The sequence below is a fragment of the Homo sapiens genome, chromosome 3 (genome assembly GCF_000001405.40).
Source record: "Homo sapiens chromosome 3, GRCh38.p14 Primary Assembly".
Lineage (NCBI taxonomy): Eukaryota > Metazoa > Chordata > Mammalia > Primates > Hominidae > Homo > Homo sapiens.
Genome location: NC_000003.12, coordinates 128885350 through 128904646, shown reverse-complemented (window position 1 = coordinate 128904646; position 19297 = coordinate 128885350). Strand labels below are relative to the sequence as shown.

Here is a 19297-nt window from a genome sequence, read left to right as displayed (position 1 = left end):
TACACAGGGCAAGTGCATCATAAATACTGGATCAATGACAGGAGGAAGATGACAGGCAACAGCATGGGCTTGAAAGGTCACAGTGAGGGAGATTTCCCAAGCCTCCCTCCAGCGCCAGCTCTCTGGCTATGCCAGGGTTACCTTCACCATGGCTGCCTCGATGGAGCAGTCGGGAAAGCCAGGTTGGTCCAGCATCCCTGCTGTGAGGTAGGTCATACTCTCCATGACGTAAGCCTTCTGAGCCATCAGTGCAAATTTCTCCTGGAGTGTTCAGAAAAAACACAAGAAACAATTTGCATGTGCTGAGAGCCAAATCTGTGAAACAGGAGAGAAAGTAATTAAGTCAGAAGCCTCAATGCCCAAGAGAAGCAAGCCCAGTGACCCGTGTCAAATAAAGCCTTAACTAGTCTTCTTCCCAAATCACCACAGAAGTCACCAGTACAGAGACATCAAAAGAACACACCGTTCATGTCACACAGTGAAATGCACAAATACAGTACTCAACCATTGGTACCTGAATCAATCCAAATTCACTGAGCCTCTTGTTAAACTGTTTCCTTGTGCAGGCGTACTCAGCAGTCATTTCTGAGGAAGAGCAGAGTTATTAGAATGAACTGGAATATTTCTGTGGTTCAAACATGATTTCCTATGGCCATCATCCTTACCCTTCCCACAGGTGGGCACTGTGAGAAGCGTGTCTGCTGAGGTCAAATACCCCAGAAGCTGGCACCCCCACTTGCCAGCACCCGTGGGTCAGAGGAGAACCACCCCTCCTCATGGCACCCACACACAGAGTTTGGCATCAGATACAGACTTGAATCCTGGCAATGGTTCTTACAGGCTGTGCCTCAGGCCGAGTGCGACACCTCCCTGAACACCACCCCCACCTCAGAGTCGCTGTGAAGATGCAACCAGGTGGAAGGGGGAGGGCGCCTCGCACAAAGCCAGGCACAGAGGCCCCAGACAGAGGTGGTGCAGGCTCACACCCCGTGCAGTGACCAAAGCAGGTGGGGCCGCCTGGCTTGAATACTCAGGCTGGGGCTTCCAGGCGTGTGGCTGTGACAAAGTGCTGAGCTCTAAGGGCCCAAGAGTGACATGGCGCCTCTCCCAGGCAGAAGCACCCCCGCCCCGCCATAGCCATGTCCTCCACAGGCTCTCCCAGGTGTGGTGCACTCAGGAGGTGTAGAGGGCCGAGCCCCACTCAGAGCCCCAGCAGAGGAGCTCCCCAGAGGCCTTGTGCCTGAGTAAGAAGAGCCCTGAGCCTGGAGCCTGACAGCTTTCATTTTGGGTCCAGGAGCACAGTCTGGAACAAATCGCTTGCCCTCTCTGAGTCTCTGTCTTCTCATCTCTAAAATGGAGGGAAGCCAAAACAGGCCCAGAGCCTGGCACCAAAGAGGAGCTTCATAAAGCACTTAGGGGTGTGCTGCCCCGGGTACCCCCATTTCCCCGCAAATGCTTCCACCACAACCAGGATGGTTACAGGGCTGTTCTAAGTTCACTGGCAAAGGAAAATGGAGGTTTGGGGTATTCTGACAGAATAGAACAAAGGTAAGATCCAGGGGCCCAGGGACCTGGGTTCCAAACCCGATCCTACTCCCCACCCACCATGCAGAGTCACCCAGGAGGCACGGACCTTGGGAACCAGAGGCCGTGTATCCTGGAAGCCTGGTTCTTGGTGTGTGCTCACCAAGCAGCTCTGCTCCTACTGGTCAGTGGCAACCTCTCACTCCAGACAGACAGCCCATTCCCCAATCCCCATCCCCACCCCAGACAGAAAGCCTGTCCCCCAGTCAGCATCACCCGGGTGGAGGTGAAACAGAGGAATGCGGAAGACAACAAACCTCAGGGGCAGGCTGAGGAGACCCTCTGGTCTCCACAAAAGCCCAGGGACTGAGCTCAGGCTGGTAGCCTGGTTCAGCACTGGCCTGGAAGGGGCCGGGGGAATGGCAGAGCCTCCAGGGTTGGAGCCGGGGCAGCAGGGGGTGGGGCACAAAGGGCCTTGTCCCTAACTTACCTACCAATCAATCTCTTGAGCAGCCCAGCCACGACGCTGCCCATGCTGAACCGGCCGCTGTTGAGGATGTTCATGGCCACCTGCAGGGAGAACAGGGAGAGCCCAGGGGCCCTGAAGGAGGCAGAGGGAGGAGGCCGCAACGAAACCAGGCCAGGTGGATCAGCTTGCCTTCCCTCAAGCTGGGAGAAAGCACCATCCTAATGCCTCAGAACAAGGTGGTTCAGTCACTGTTGCAGCTCTACCAACATCCCCACACACAAGACCACTGAACGTTATTCCAAAGGACCATGCCAGAGCTGGGCATGGTGGCTCCCACCTGTAGTACCAGCATTTTGGAAGGCCAAGGCAAGAGGATCGCTTGAGCCCAGGAGTTCAAGACCAACTTGGGCCAAACAGAAATTCTACTTTTAGGCATAAATCAAAATACCTGAAAACGTTATTTCCACATTAAAACTTGACATGAATGTTCATAAGTAGCATTACTGATAGCAGCCAAAAGCGGTAACAACCCCAATGTCCATCAGCTGGTGAATGGATGAACAAAATGTGGTATCTCCACTCAACAGAAGAGAATTCAGCCATAAAAGGAATGAATTACTCATTCATGCTATGAGAGAGATGAACCTTGAAAACATCACGCAATGTGAGAGAAGCCTGTCACCAAAGACTGGATCTTGTATATGACTGCATTTTTATGAAATGTTCCAAACAGGCAAATCCATAGGGACATAAAGTAAAAGAGTAGCAGCCAAGGGATGGGGTAAGGGTCATACTGGATGGTACAACATTTCTTTTTGGGGTGAGGAAATGTTCTGTGTGAGATATTTGAACAACATAGTGAATATACTAAAAACCACTGAAATAATATTTTAAAATGGTGAGTCCTTTGTCATATGAATCATCTCTTGATAAAAATAAGTCTTAGTCCAAAAAGAAAAGAGTAGGGCAGCGATGCAGACCAGGGTTGTGGTACACAGAGCTTGAGATTCACCAGAGCCCACAGGCTGCTTTCTCATACCCACTGCAGAAGGGAATCTTAGCCTCCGCTCGAGGCGAATAGGGCCTCAGAGGTGAAGGGAAATTCCTAATCCTTACCATACACTTCTTCTAGGAGCCAGCCAATTTTCCAGTGTCCATTTTGCCAATTTCCCAACAGATAACCATGCAAAGTCACCTGCCATGCACAGGCTACTCTGCTACGAGCAGGGATAGGGCAAAAGCTGGGGGCGACAAACTGCACTCATGACACTACCTGGTACAAGGGGCTGTGGCTGGCAACTCACCTTAAACCCATCTCCGACCTCTCCAAGGATGTTTTCCACAGGTATCTTGGTGTTTTCAAAATGGACTTCACAAGCTGAAACACATGAAATTTAAGATATCATCTGACAATGCAAACCACTCTGCATCTGACCTGCAAGCAGGCAATTCATCCATCCATCCATCCATCCATCCATCCAATGTTTGGTAGGACAGTATAGAAAGACAAAGTTCCTATCTTTGTGGAGGCTCATACTTTGATTTGGGAGACAAAAGCTATAAACAAAACAATGTAATATTGTGATCAGTGCTATGGATGAAATAAATAGGGCATCACGATAAAGAGAAATGGAGGTTGGCAAGGGGGTGGATAATAATATTTTTATTAAGGACTATGTCAGACTTTTCTAAGGTGACATTTAGCAGAAGTTTAAGAATGAAAAGAACCAGGCATATAAAGAGCCAGAACAAGCAAAGTGAGGGAAAGAACAGCATTTCCTGAAGCCTTAGGGTAGACTGGGACCACTGGTCTCAATTCTTAACTCTAACACAATCACACCCCTGCAATCTAACTGTAGCACTCTCCCACTGTGAGGAGGGATGGACCTCCCTCCCTTTCCCTGCCTGCTAGGTATGACCATGTGACTTCCTGTGGCCAATACAAAGAGCTGACCCAACATGAACAGAGACCTTAAATGTGTTTTAGGGTCAGTCGGGTATGGTGGCTCATGCCTATAATCCCAGCATTTTGGGAGGCAGAGGCAGGAAGATCACTTGAACCCAGGAGTTCGAGACCAGCCAGGACAACATAGCAAGACCTCATCTCTATTTAAAAAAAAAAAAAAAAAGGCCGGGTGCGGTGGCTCACGCACTTTGGGAGGCCGAGGTGAGCGGATCACGAGGTCAGGAGATCGAGGCCATCCTGGCTAACATGGTGAAACCCCATCTCCACTAAAAAATAGAAAAAATTAGCCGGACGTGGTGGCAGGCAGCTGTAGTCCCAGCTATTCGGGAGGCTGAGGCAGGAGAATGGCGTGAACCCGGGAGGCGGAGCTTGCAGTGAGCCAAGATAGTGCCACTGCACTCCAGCCTGGGCGACAGAGCGAGACTCCGTCTCAAAAAAAACAAACCAAAAAAAAGTGGCCAGGTATGGTAACTCACACGTGTAATCCTAGCACTTTGGGAGGCTGAGGCAGGTAGACTGCCTGAGCTCAGGAGTTCAAGACAAGTCTGGGCAACATGTTGAAACCCCATCTCTACAAAAAATACAAAAATTAGCCAGGTGTGGTGGTGCACGCCTGTAGTCCCAATTACTTGGGAGGCTGAGACAGGAGAATCACTCGAACCCAGGAGGCAGAGGTTGCAGTGAGCTGAGATCACAGCACTGCATTCCAGGCTGGGTGACAGAGGGAGACTATGTCTCCCACGGCAAAAATAGTACTTATATGGCTTGGCTTGGCCCCTTAGGTGCTTATGATCTGCTCTAAGAACAAGCCTCCAGATGGACCTGAACCCAGATGGACCTGAACCCAACTCACAGCCTGAAGCAGGCTGCCAGGCACTGCAGACTGAGACAACTAAAGGCTGGGGACTGTAAGCTGAGCTCTAAGGTGGTGTGTCTGCTAGGGCAGCTACAGCAGGGGATGACCAGCAGGCCTTCAAGTGAGCAGCACTCAGCTGCAGGAACAAAGACAAAGCCCAAGTGGCATTCTTAATTTGATCTTTTTAAAATGCTTAACAAAAACTGAAAGTGTTTAAATCTCATTTTATCTTGCTATTTGGACAGAGTCAAGGGCCAGTCTCCCCCTTACACACACACACACACACACACACACACACACACACACACCGTCAAAGGCCAGTCTCCCCCTTACACACACACACGCGCACGCGCGCACAGGAGCTACTTACTGTTGGAGCCCCGAATGCCTAATTTATCTTCGGGTTTCCCATTAGTGACTCCACCAAAGTCTCTTTCTACTATGAATGCTGTGATTTTGTCTTTCACTGATCCATCAGAATCAACGACCTCAGTCTTTGCAAACACAGTAAAAATATTGGCCAGTCCTCCATTAGTAATCCAGACCTGAGGACAGAAAGATGGACTTTGGAGAAAACCAAACCCCTATGTGACCCACCTCAGCTCTGTCTTTGTCCATCAAGCTCCAGCTGCCAGTCAGACCTCAGGCCAGACATGCAGGGTCCTTGGCTCTGCAGAAGCCAACCAAGCATGAGTGAATAGAGGACAGGGCTCAGCCCACTTTCCCCAGAGCAAGGATTTTCCCAAGGGACATGGATGGCCAGGTGGAGGCGGGGGCGGGGGAAAGAACACCCAAAGTTGTCAGACAGCTCAGGCTCCACCGCCAGACAACTGCATTTCTTCAAGAAAGAAAGGGTTTAATCATTTCTTAAGGTATACATATATAAAAACATCATGTTGTAGATGTAAATACACACAACATTTATTTGTTAATTCTACAAAGAAATGAAAAAAGGCGGGAGGGTGGTGAGGAGGAGGAAAGGAAACAGAGGGAGACAGAGGCAGAAACAGACTCCTTAACAAACAGCAACAGATGGGACTTGTGTGGATCTTAATTCAAGCAAACAGTTAAACCAAAAAAAGGTATGAGGCAATCAGGGATATTTGAATGCTGATAGAAGTAAGAAATTATTAGCTGGGCACAGTGGCTCACGCCTGTAATCCCAGCACTTTGGGAGGCCGAGGTGGGCAGACCACTTGAGCCCCGGAGTTTGAGACCAACCTGGGCAACACGGTGAAAACCCATCTCTACCAAAAAAAAAATACAAAGAGTTAGCTGTGTGCCTGTACTCCCAGCTGCTTGGGAGGTTGAGGTAGGAGAATCACCTGAGCCCAGGAAGTTGAGGCTGCAGTGAGCCAAGATCGTGCCACTGCACTCCAGCCTGGGTGACAGAGCGGGACCCTGTCTCAAAAGAAAAGAGAAATTATCAATTTTTAAAATGTGATAAGGGTATTACGGCTTTGTGTTTATTAAAAAACAAAAACAAACAAAAAAAACTCCTGTCTTTTAGAGAGGCATGCTGAGATTGTTACCATGCGATCTGGAGGTGGCGATGCTGCTGGAAGAGGCACAGTGGCCATAAGCAGGTGACTGCCGGAGTTAGGGCCAGCCAGGCACACAGAATATGTCTGAAACTTTGTGTAACAAAAAATTTAAAGATTTTTTGGGTTTACAAGCCGGGCACAGTGGCTCATTGCCTGTAAACTCAGCACTTTGGGAGGCCGAGGTGGGCAGATCACTTGAGGTCAGGAGTTCAAGACCTGACTGGACAACATGGTGAAACTCCATCTCTACTGAAAATACAAAAATTAGCCAGGAGTGGTGACACGCACCTCTAATCCCAGCTACCCAGGAGGCTAAGGCAGGAGAATCATTGGAAACCTGGGAGGCAGAAGTTTCAGTGAGCTGAGATTACACCACTGCACTCCAGCCTGGGTGACAGAGACTCCATCGCAAATAAAAAAAACTAAAAAAAATTAAAAACAAACACATAAAAGCAGCTCAAGAAGGTAGTCGGTGCTACAGCAGCAGGTACAATCCCTGGTGTGTGGAGAGTGCTCACTCAGTGGCAGTGAAGGTTGTGACTGAGACCCTAATGTGGCCATGGGGAAGGAACCCTACCTTGGAGCCATTGAGGATGTAGTGCTTCTTGTCTTCACTTAGTGTGGCTCTGCTCCGGATTGAGGCTGCATCGCTCCCACTGCAGATGCAGAAAGATGTGGTCAAGGGAGAATACTGGGAATAAATATGAATGCTTTTGAGGGCCTGAAAATGGAGGTTTTAGTACTTGTAAGAGGTCAGCAAACTTTTAAAATGAAGGGTCAGATAACATATTCAGCTTTCCAAGCTGCAGGATGTCTGTCTCACCTCCTCAACTCTGCTGCTATTAATAGAACATGAGGCTGAGGCAGGTGGTTCACGAGGTCAAGAGATTGAGATCTGGCCAACATGGTGAAACCCCGTCTCTACTAAAAATACAAAAATTAGCTGGGTGTGGTGGGGCATGCCTGTAGTCCCAGCTACTCGGGAGGCTGAGGCAGAAGAATCGCTTGAAGGCGGAGGTTGCAGTGAGATGAGATTGAGCCACTGCACTCCAGCCTGGGTGACGCAGCAAGACCCTGTCTCAAAAACAAACAAACAAAACTTATTTATAAAAAACAGGCAGGAGGCTGGATTTAGCCGACCTCTGCTTCAATACATCACGTAAAAAAGCGGCAGTGAAAACAACTTGGGCTTAGGTTTAAACATGGAAATGGGTGCTTGCAATGGGCTCATCTGAGGTCCTGTGAGGATGAGTTCTGGGCACCCCAGGAAGGATGACTGTTCCCAGGTTCTCATGCAAAGTGAAGCAGGATGGAGGATGGTCCAGGTGATGGACTTATCATCAGAGTCCCGAGTGCTGCCGCAGCCCTGCTCCATCCAGCAGATCACACAGCCTCACTGAACCTCAGCTCCTAATGTGTAAGTGGGAGCAGTACCACCCACGCTATATATTCTGAAAGGTGCTTTGAAGCCGGAACGTTATTACTATATTGTATGTCAAGGTGTGTTGTAAACCACAAAAATTTATTTAATAAGTGCTGTCAAGCGTGGTATCTCACTTGCAAGTCTCACTGGGACAGAGAAATAAGGTCAAGATAAGAGGAATGGCAAGAACAGTTGCTGAGTTGATTCTTTGCAAGATTTTGGAAAGAAGGAAAAGTCAGCTACTCAACAAAACCAACAGCCCCTTGCCCCAGTGAATCTTGGGCAACATCACAGCTGCTGAGGGATAACGTTTTGTGCAGAGACAGACCTGGCTGGCTCCGTGAGGCAGAAGGCTGCAATGTGCTCCCCGGACGCCAGTTTAGGCAAGTATTTGGCTTTCTGCTCCTCAGTGCCAGCCAAGATGATCCCCTAAACAAAACAGACACAGACTAATGTCAGCTGTGGGGAGAAAGGAGAGCATGAGGTGTTTGTGAAACATTTCCTTTCTGAGGCAAATATTTACTTCGGGCAAGAGAAGACAGCAAGAACTCAGAGCAAGCGGCCACAGGCAGAGCCCAGGGAGCCAAGCTGCTGAGGAGACGGTCAGGGCGCACATGCCAGTGCCGTGAGCCTGTGCAACCCACAGTGCTTTGCAGTCTGTGTCCAAAACTTTCATATCAGTTCCTTCATTTCCCAGACTAGTGGTCTTGGGCAAAGGATATCCCTTTCCAAAGAAAGCCTCCTCCATCTTGTCATCCACAAACTGGGCCACTCCCACCCACTGACAGGGTCTGGATGATGCAATGTGAAGACACAGGAGTGCTGGAACCAAGCCTATCCTAAAGAAGGTGCTCAGTGTCAGGGCTGTCCCACCTGCTGCCCTCCCAGTGCCACAAAGACAGTCCCCCTCTTCACTAAACATCTGCATGAATGTGTGCGCTCTCTGGGGTGGGGGAGCCGAGCATGGTGTGCATTCAGCTCTCTTTGATGTCAACATTAAGCAGAAATAATCTGAGTAATGAGATTGCCAGTAAGGGCGGTTGACCCTGGGCCTGCCCTAAGGTGCTCCAAGCCCAGTGGGGAGAAGGTGGCTTGCATAAAGAGTGGGGGCATGCTCAGGCTGAAGGACGAAGGCTCAGGAGAGACCACTTCCAGCCCAAGGCGAAGGCAGTGGCACCCTACCTGGGCCTTGAAGGGTGGATCAGAGGCAATGGGGACAGGAGGTGGATTCAGAAGGAAGGGACATGCGACCCAAAGGCCACTGCGCATGTGGGCAGTGTGTGAGGATTGAGCACCATGAGGTGTGGCCAGAGTGAGGGAACTGAAGGGCAGGGCTGAAGGTCAGATATCAGGCCCAATTCAGAGGGAGCAAGCCTCTGGCCTCTATGCCTCCATGTGACTCCAGAAGACCTACAGAGAGCACCACACAGAATCCCCAGATACCTGACCTTGAGGCCAATAGCCTGGTGCGCTGCCAGGGTCACAGTGATGGACCCATCCATGCTGATGATCTCCCCTAGTCTTGAGTACATGGTGTTGGAGAAGCCCAGGCCACCTAGGAGAGATGGACCAGCGTCAATCACAGCCCAGCCCTAGATTCCTCCCATTAAGGCTTCATTGGCTTTTTTTTTTCTTCTGATTATAAAGTAATGCCAGATCACCATATTAAAAAAAAAAATCACAATACAGGCCGGGCATGGTGGCTCACACCTGTAATCCCAGTACTTTGGGAGGCTGAGGCAGGCAGATCACCTGAGGTCAACAGTTCGAGACCAGCCTGGCCAACATGGCAAAACCCCGTCTCTACTAAAAATACAAAAATTAGCCAGGTGTGGTGGTGTGTGCCTGTGGTCCCAGCTACTCAGGAGGCTGAGGCATGAGAATCACTTGAACTTGGGAGGCAGGGATTGCAGTGAGCCAAGATCGCACCACTGCACTCTAGCTTGGGCAACAGAGAGAGACTCTGTCTCAAAAAAAAAAAAAAAAAAAAAATCACAATACAGAAAGGTACAAAGTAAACAAAAATCGAGGGCTGGGCACAGTGGCTCACGCCTGTAATCCCGGCGCTTTGGGAGGCTGAGGTGGGAGGATTGCTTGGTTCCAAGAATTCAAGACTAGCCTGGGCAACATAGCAGGACCCCAGCTCTACAAAATAAAAAAAATTCACCAGGCATGGCGGCGCACGCCTGTAGTCCCAGCTACTTGGAAGGCTTAGGTGGGAGGATTGTTTGAGCCCGAGGAATTCAGGGCTACAGTGAGCTATGACCACACCACTGCACTCCAGCCTGGATGACAGAGTGAGACCCTGTCTCAAAAAAAAAAAAAAAAAAAGCTCGCAATCTTGTGCCTCAGAAAGCGCATTTCTGTGTATATCCTTCCATCCACACTTTTTCTAGGCATACAAGCATATGTAGATATATACTTTAAATATGAAGATATCTACACACACATCGAATCAATTAACATGTAGTGAGAATCTTCCATCACAGCTGTAGGTCTTTATAAATGCAACAACTATAGTGTGACCCACTGCCCAGTATCCAGAGGACTCCAGGACAGAGCTTTTCCACTGTGGCACTGTAACATTTTGGAATGGATTGTTTTCTGTTTTGGGGGTCTGTCCTGTGGATTGTCAGATGCTTAGCAGCATCCTTGGCCTTTATAATTTTATATCAAAAGGGCCTGAGGGTAAACACAAATGGCACACATGTGTGTGGTCTATCCCTTTGAACCTTGAAGGTCTACCTTGCCTTCTACACACTGCTTGCCTGTCCCTTTAACCTCTGCAGAATTCAGGTGACCAACTCGAGAAAAAGCGTAAGGGAGGCAAGTTGTAGTGACTGGCCAACTCTAATAAGGCAGAACCGCCACTTGGGGGCTAAAAACATCACTAGGATGCTCAAAGAATTACAGGGACAGTCCATAGGACAAAGGACCCTGCTCAAAGGTTCCCACTGGTCCAATCTCCCACCTCGATGTGCCTTGCACTCTACAGCCAGCCAGACCACATGCCTCATTCCTCTGTGCTAGGATGAGAAGCACAGGACCCGAGAACACTTCCTCCCTACAGGTCCTTCAGTCAGTCCACCCCTACCAAGTAGCCCACCACGGATGGTGTCATCTATTCCAGCAACTAGACCTGTTATGGACAAATACAGAGTGCTTTCTTAAGAGCTAAACTGGCTGGGTGCTTGTTTGCTTGACTTACCATATTCTTCTGGGACTTGCAGCCCAAAAAGCCCTAGGCTCTTCAATTTCTCCAAAGTTTCATCTGGGATTTTCCCTTCCTGGTCAATTTTTCGGGAGTCCACTGCCAAGAGGAAAATCTTGATTAAACAAATATAAGCTATGTTTCTACAAATATAAGTAAACAGGACAGTGTTTATATATTAATCATATATAATCCCAGAGTAGAAACTTTTTCAAAACTAGAAATTCTGTAGTCATGGTCATTTGGCCTGTGTTCAATTTTATGTAATGAGCCCAGGAAAAATTTTATTTTTATATATTTATTTAGAGACAAGGTCTCACTCTGATATCCAGGCTGGAGTGCAGTGGCACAATCATAGCTCACGTAACCTTAATCTCCCAGGCTCAAGTGAGCCTCCTGCCTCAGCTTCATGAGAAGCTGGGACTACAGGTATATACCACCACACCCAGCTAATTTTTTTTTTTTTTTTCAGTAGAGACGAGGTCTTGCTATGTTACCCAGGCTGGTCTTGAACTCCTGAACGCAAGCAATCTTCCCACCACAGCCTCGCAAAGTACTGGGATCATAGGTGTGAGCCACCACGCCCGGCCAGAATAAAATTGTTAAAAGCTGCCAGAGCTAGGTGGTGTTCTATTTCTTGATCTGGGTGCTAGTCACAGGGGTGCTTTTGCTGTGTAAAACAGCAGCAAATTATATACATTCATGGGATGTAAATTTTTCTATAGGCATGTTAAACTTCATGTTTTTCCTCCTCCTTATAGACCTCATACTTTTTTTGGCCGGTATTTTCTAGGAAATGAGAGAATAAATATGCAAGTCTCAGAATTGTACTAAAATGTTCAGCTAGATAGCCACCTCATGGCAGTATCTGGGCCAAGGTTTACTTCACTGCCAGAGGCCATACTGCTTTCAGCACAATCCACAAGTTCTGAGACAGTTTAGCCTGTTTAACACCAATTCATTCATTCATTCAACATTCACATTCAGCCTGTAGTCTCAGCTACTTGGGAGGCTCAGGTGGAAGGATCACTTGACCTGGGAGGTTGAGTAAGCTCTGATGGCACCACTGCACTCCAGCCTGAGCGACAGAGTGAGATCTCATCTCTAAAATAAAAATTCACATTCACTACAGCAAAACTGAACAATCAATAGCATAGCATTAGACCTATAATTGCACACTTTTGTATGCATCAAATTAATTAAAGTGTACTTCTGAATTGCTAATTAAACTTCATCAGTATTATAAATTGTTAAAAACACCATAACCTACACTTAAGAATTTTTGTATACATGGGTCACTAAGAGAACTACAGATTCCCAAAAGTGCAGGCCAAACCCTTCATTTTTTATCCTTTAACAACTTTATTGACATACATAATTGGCGAAGAATAACCTGCACATATTTATAATATATAATTTGTTGAGTTCTGACATATTTGTCAGTGAAAACATGACAATCGAGATAAAAACATTTCCTTTTTCACCAAAAGTCTCTATGCCCCTTTGTGATCGATCCATCTGTCCACCATCCCCAGGCAACCACAAATCTTTGTCTGTAGATCAGTTTGCATCTTCAAGTTTTATATAAATGAATCCATATGGCACCTATTTTCCCGGGCTTCTTTAACTCAGGTCATGATTTACAGATTCACCCGTGTTGTTGCGTGTATAAATACTTCATTACTTTTTGTTGTTCAGTATTCACTGTATGGGTGTACAACTGTTTATCCAAATTCAATAAACAGTATAAACACACAGAGCCAAGAAGTTCAAACAACTCCAAGCAAAATAAATGTGCAAAAAACTACATAAATAAATGTGATAATCAATTTTCCTAAAAACCACTGAAAAGCAGCCAGAGATGAAAAAAACACTATGTACAAAGGAACAAAGAATGGAAGCAGACATCTCTTCTGAAGCAATATGAAGTCAGGAAGAGAGCAGAGCAACACAATTAATGGCCTGAAAGGTAAATCCTGTCAACACAGAAACCTGTTCTGATGAAACAGACTTTTCTTTTTCTTTTTCTTTTCGAGATGGAGTCTCGCTCTGTCGCCCAAGCTGGAGTACAGTGATGTGATCTCAGCTCACTGCAACCTCTGCCTGCCGGGTTCAAGTGGTTCTCCTGCCTCAGCCTCCCAAGTAGCTGGGATTACAGGTGCACACCACCATATCTGGCTAATTTTTGTATTTTTGGTAGAGACGGGGTTTCACCCTGTTGGCCAGACTGGTCTCGAACTCCTGACCTCAGGTGATCTGACAGCCTCGGCTTCCCTAAATGCTGGCATTACGGGCATGAGCCACCATGCCTGGCTGAAACTTTTCTAGACATACAAAAGTGAGAATATGCATCCCCTGCAGAGCTGCACATCATGAAAAGTGAAAGGAAGTCCTTCCCACAGAAGAGCAATGGTAGCAAAAGGGAATCTGACTCTACATGAGAGAATGAAGAGCCCTGGAATCAGTAACTACATGGGTAACTACAAGATCCTTTTTTCCTATTTTAAAAATTGCTGGCCGGGCACGGTGGCTCAAGCCTATAATCCCAGCACTTTAGGCCGAGGCGGGTGGATCACAAGGTCAGGAGTTCGAGACCAGCCTGGCCAATATAGTGAAACCCTGTCTCTACTAAAAAAATATAAAAATTAGCCGGGCATAGTGATGCGCACCTATAGTCCCAGCTACTCAGGAGGCTGAGGCAGGAGAATCGCTTGAACCTGGGAGGCAGAGGTTGTAGTGGGCCAAGATAGCGCCACTGCACTTCAGCCTGGGTGACACAGTGAGACTTCGTCTCAAAAAAAAAAAAAAAATTGCTCTAAAAGATAAACCAACCATTTAAGAATTGTAGGCCTTTTTGCAGACATTGAAAATTGTAAAATTGATAAAGAAATGCAAATTAACTTGTAATGAATCATAGTTCTAAACCTGAATTAAAACTATACAGTTTCTTTTGAGATGGAGTCTTGTTCTGTCGCCCAGGCTGGAGTGCAGTGGTGCGATCTTGGCTCACTGCAAGCTCCGCCTCCCGGGTTCACGCCATTCTCCTGCCTCAGCCTCCCGAGTAGCTGGGACTACAGGCACCTGCCACCACGCCCGGCTAATTTTTTGTATTTTTAGTAGAGACGGGGTTTCACCATGTTAGCCAGGATGGTGTCGATCTCCTGACCTCATGATCCGCCCATCTCGGCCGCCCAAAGTGCTGGGATTACAGGCATGAGCCACTGCGCCCAGCCAAAACTATAAAGTTTCTAAAATAAAATACAGGCCAGGCTGGGCGAGGTGGCTCTCACCTGTAATCCGAGCACTATGGGAGGCCGAGTCGGGCAGATCACCTGAGGTCAGGAGTTCGAGATTGGCCTGGCCAACATGGTGAAGCCCCTTCTCTACTCAAAATACCAAAAATTAGCCAGATGTGGTGGCACGCACCTATAATCTCAGCTACTCGGGAGGCTGAGGCAGAATCGCTTGAACCTGGGAGATGGAGGTTGCAGTGAGTCGAGATGGCATCTCAAAAAAAAAGGAAATACAGGCCAGGCGCAGTGGTTCATACCTGTAATCCCAACACTTTAAGAGGCTGAGGTAGGAAGATCACCTGAGCCCAGGAGTCTGAGACCAGCCTGAATAACATAGTGAGAACCCATTTCTACAAAAAACTTTAAGAATTATTAGCTGGGCATGGTAGCGTGTGCCTGTAGTCTTAGCTATGCGGGAGGCTGAGGCAGAGGATGGCTTGAGCCCAGAAGTTCAAGGGTTGCAGTGAGCTATGATCACACCACTGCACTCCAGCCCAGGCAACAAAGAAAGACCCTGTCTCTTAAAAAAAGAAAAAGAGGAAAAAAGGAATGTTTATGGCAACTTTTTTGGTGATAGCTAAAATCTGGATACATACCCTATGTTGATGAATACTTGAATGGATAAACAAATCTTGGTATATCCATAGAAAGAAATATGACTCAGCATTAAAAAGGAAGCCACTACCAATACATGCACCATGGATGAAATTCAAAATTATGCAGAAAGAAGCCAGACAAAATCACACATAATATAATTCCAAAAAATACGAACTAATCTATAGTGAGAGAAAACAGATCAGCAGTTGCCTGGAAACAGGGGGGAAATAAAAGAGGCACAAGGAAACTTTGACGGGTAATGAGTACGTTCACTTCCTCTGTTGCACTGATGGCTCCTGAGGGGTACTCTCTAAATACAGTCATGCGTCAGGTGATTCTCTCCCTGTATGAACATCAGAATGGACTTACACAACCTAGGTGGCAGAGCCTACTACACACCTAGGCTATATGGTATGGCTTATTGCTCCTAGGCTGCAAACCTGTACAGTAGGCCGGGCGTGGTGTCTCATGCCTATAATCCCAGCACTTTGGAAGGCTGAGGCGGGAGGATCACTTGAGCCCAGGAGTTGGAAACCAGCCTGGGCAACACAGTGAAACCCCATCTCACTGTTAAATATTTTTTGTTTTTTTTTTTTTAAGGAAAACAAAACAAAACAAAAAAGCTGTACAGCATATTACTGTGCTGAACACTGTAGGCAACTGTAACACAATGGTAAGTATTTGTGTATATGAACACAGCTAAACATAGAAAAGATACAGTAGAAATATGGTATGATGATCTTATGGGATCACCACTGTATATATGGTCTGTCATTGACTTGAATGTCATTATGTGTCACATGACAGTGTGTGCAATTTATTGTAAATCAATTATTCCTTAATTAAACCTGAAAAAAAAAAAAACCTGACAAACCACATAGGAAAAGTTTAAATAAAAGAACAAGAGACTATGGGAGCTAAAAAAAGATACAAATAGGAAGATAAACACTAGGAAAAAAAGCAGAAATAAGTATTTCTAAATTATAAATTATGTTTATATATAAATAAGCAACTTTTAAAACTAGCAACATATAATTTGTGATCACCAGGTGTGAAATAAGAAACAAACAAAAACCAAGCAATGTAATGACAGCTGACAATTTGGCACTTCTCAAAGAGGTTCTGGGGGACCTGAGCTGCTTCTAGGGGGTCCCACAGGATCAAAACTAGTTTTTATTTTTTTTTGAGATGGAGTCTCACTCTGTCACCCAGGCTGAAGTGCAGTGGCGCCATCCCAGCTCAATACAACCTCCACCTCCCGGGTTCCAGTGATTCTCCTGCCTCGGCCTCCCCAGTAGCTGGGATTACAGGTGGGCACCAACACACCTGGTTAATTTTTATATTTTTAGTAGAGACAGGGTTTCACTATGTTGGCCAGGCTGGTCTCAAACTCCTGACCTCAAGTGATCCACCCACGTCGGCCTCCCAAAGCGCTGGGATTGCAGGCATGAGCCACCATACCTGGCCTAAAACTACTTAAGATGTTACTTGCTTTTAAATTCTAATTCTCTGAAGACTGTACAGTGGGGCGCAGTGTAGTGTATTTAACGTTTTGGCTCAGAGTCCAATATATAGTCCAAAGTACCATGTTCCCAGAATTTATGTACGGCCTTTATATGAATAAATCTTGATCAAGGATTCAGAAAAAAGTCTTAGGTTTGCATATAAGTCACTCAAAGCAGTAAAACAGGCTACTTGGATTTCCAGCAATATTTGTGCTTTTATTCTTGGCCATTACTTTTGGGGAAGGGTTGTCTGTCCTGGTTGGTTTTCATAGAGGCCAGTTGTGGGAGGATGTGATTTTTCTGTGTCTCCAGATGACAGTGCCTCTATTTCCGTGGCACTGCTGGCTGCCTACAGCTGTCATTCCAGAGGGCCCTTTGTCCACAGTGATTAGCCTCCTCTTTGAATGTACATGAAATAGGTGTATTTTTGTATGTTCTTTTCTCTGCTTTGCCCTTGGATTTAACTTCCTTTTTGAATTCACATCATGGCAGCTGAATGAACATAGTTTTTATTCCAGCATTTGCTATTTATTCCAAGAGACCTTTGTTCCTGTGAGAGGGAGTGGGTTTGGTTTGCAGTGGTTTCTTGCATATATATATATATATATATATATTTATTTATTTTTTTATTTTTATTTTTATTTTTTTTTGAGACAGGGTCTCACTCCTGTCGCCCAGGCTGGAGCTCAATGGCATGAACACAGCTGACTACAGCCTTGACTTCCCAGGCTTGGGTACCTTCTCCCACCTCAGACTCCCAAGTAGCTGGGACTATGGGCGCGCACCACCATGCCCGGCTAATATTTTAAATTTTTAGTAGAGACAGGGTTTCGCTCCATTGCCTAGGCTGGTCTCAAACTCTGGGACTCAAGCAATCTGCCCCCCTCAGTCTTCCACAGTGCTAAGATTACCAGTGTGAGCCACCGTGCCCAGCCGGTTTCTTATATATTTACATCTCTGCAAATACAAAGATGACAGTTATTGCTGACAGAGCCCTATGTCCTGGAAGTGTGTGTTTCTTGCTTTAAATGCACGTGTCAGGACAGGTGCGGTGGCTGACACCTGTAATCCCAGCACTTTGGATTACAGGCAGATCATTTGAGGTCAGGAGTTCAAGACCAGCCTGGCCAACATGGTGAAACCCCATCTCTACTGAAAATACAAAAATTAGCCAGGCGTGGCGGTGCGTGCTATAATTCCAGCTACTCAGGAAGCTGAGGCATGAGAATCACTTCAACTGCAGAGGTTGCAGTGAGCTGAGGTCGTACCACTGCACTCCAGCCTGGGTGACAAAGCAAGAGCAAGACTGTCTCAGAAACAAACAAACAAAAAGCATGTCTGAAGATTATAAAAAAAGACAGTTAAAAAAAAAAAAAGACTGCACAGTGGACTTTTCCAGAGGTTACGTGCACAAACAGGTATGAGAATCCAGCTGTCTTCTAATAAGCCAAACATTAAAAGGACTTGCATAACTTTCAACCAATGTCACTCTTTCCATCAATTTTTTTCTTTTTTTTTTTTTAACTTACTTTTCTTTTTTTTTTCTTTTTGAGACAGAGTTTCACTCTTATTGCCCATGCTGGAGTGCAGTGGCGCGATCTCGGCTCACCGCAACCTCCGCCTCCCAGGTTCCAGCGATTCTCCTGCCTCAGCCTCCTGAGTAGCTGGGATTACAGGCATGTACCACCACGCCCAGCTAATTTTGTATTTTTAGTAGAGATGAGGTTTCTCCATGTTGGTCAGGCTGGTATCGAACTCCCGACCTCAGGTGATCCACCCACCTCAGTCTCCGTAAGTGCTGGGATTACAGGTGTGAGCCACCGCGCCTGGCCTGATTATTTTTCAAAATATTTTTCATTAGCTGGCGCGGTGGCTCACGCCTGTAATCCCAGCACTTGGGGAGGCTGAGGAAGGCAGATCATGAGGTCAGGAGTTCAAGACCAACCTGGCCAACATAGTGAAACCCCATCTCTACTAAAAATACAAAAATTACCCGGGCGTGGTGGTGCATGCCTGCAGTCCCAGATACTTGGGAGGCTGAGGCAGGAGAATCACTTGAACCTGGGAGGTAGAGGTTGCAGTGAGTCGAGATTGCACCACTGCACTCCAGCCTGGGTGACAGAGTGAGACTCTGTCTCGGAAAAACAAAAACAAAATATTTTTCATTAAAAATATTATGTTAACATGTAATGGATTTATTATTTTTAAACAAATGAACACAGTATATTTTATTTTTTTTTTTTAGACAAAGTCACACTCTGTCACCCAGGCTGGAGTGCAGTGGTGCAATGTTGGCTCACTACAATCTCTGCCTCCTGGGTTCAAGCAATTCGCCTGCTTCAGCCTCCTGAATAGCCGGGATTACAGGCACCCGCCACCATGCCCGGCCAATTTTTGTATTTTTAGTAGAGACAGGGTTTCACCATGTTGGCTACGCTGGTCTTGAACTCCAGACCTCAGGTGATCTGTCCCCGTTGGCCTCCCAAAGTGCTGGGATTACAGGCGTGAGCCACTGCACCCAGCCCCACAGTATATTTTAAATTTCTCAGTTTTAATTTCTAAGAGGGGCTAGGCATGGTGGCTCACACCTGTAATCCCAGCCCTTTGGGAGGCCAAGGTGGGAGGATCACTTGAGCCTAGGAGTAGAGACCAGCCTGGGCAATATAGTGAGAACCTGTCTCTATGAAAAATACAAAAAAATTAGCTGGGCATGGGGGTGCGCACCTGTAGTTCCAGCAACTCAGGAGGCTGAAGTTGGGGGACTGTTTGAGCCTGAAAGATGGAGGTGGTGGTGAGATGAGATGGTACCACCACACTCCAGTCTGAGCAACAGAGCTAGGCCCTTTCTCAAAAAAATAAAGTAAAATAAAAATAAAATAACCCCTAAGATGGCAAATATTGATAGATAA

General features: G+C 46.7%; 1 protein-coding gene across 5 annotated transcripts in view, besides 1 other annotated feature; it reads right to left on the bottom strand.

Annotated features, from left to right (window-relative positions):
• Positions 1-19297, bottom strand: part of ACAD9 (acyl-CoA dehydrogenase family member 9) — a 33495-nt gene that overhangs the window by 8468 nt on the left and 5730 nt on the right. For 4 of the 5 annotated variants that reach the window (NR_033426.2, NM_014049.5, NM_001410805.1 and 1 more), the window contains 9 exons: positions 10991-11092; positions 9231-9337; positions 8111-8211; positions 6937-7015; positions 5186-5360; positions 3298-3371; positions 2019-2094; positions 515-585; positions 142-261 (listed from right to left, as the gene is read on the bottom strand). Coding sequence is in view for 3 of the 5 variants with exons in the window: in NM_014049.5 (NP_054768.2) it covers positions 142-261; positions 515-585; positions 2019-2094; positions 3298-3371; positions 5186-5360; positions 6937-7015; positions 8111-8211; positions 9231-9337; positions 10991-11092 (905 nt within the window). In the remaining 2 variants the exon portion in view is untranslated. Of the gene's footprint in view, positions 1-141; positions 262-514; positions 586-2014; positions 2095-3297; positions 3372-5185; positions 5361-6936; positions 7016-8110; positions 8212-9230; positions 9338-10990; positions 11093-19297 lie in introns of those variants that run through there. The other variant, XR_427367.4, reaches the window with a different exon arrangement.
• Positions 1354-2553: an enhancer, noted in NCBI's record as "BRD4-independent group 4 enhancer chr3:128620937-128622136 (GRCh37/hg19 assembly coordinates)". NCBI's record gives its function as "activates an origin of replication core promoter dependent on BRD2, P300/CBP, MED14 and CDK7 cofactors, and independent of BRD4, by STARR-seq in HCT116 cells {active_cell/tissue: HCT116}" and the evidence as "EXISTENCE:reporter gene assay evidence [ECO:0000049][PMID:35650434]".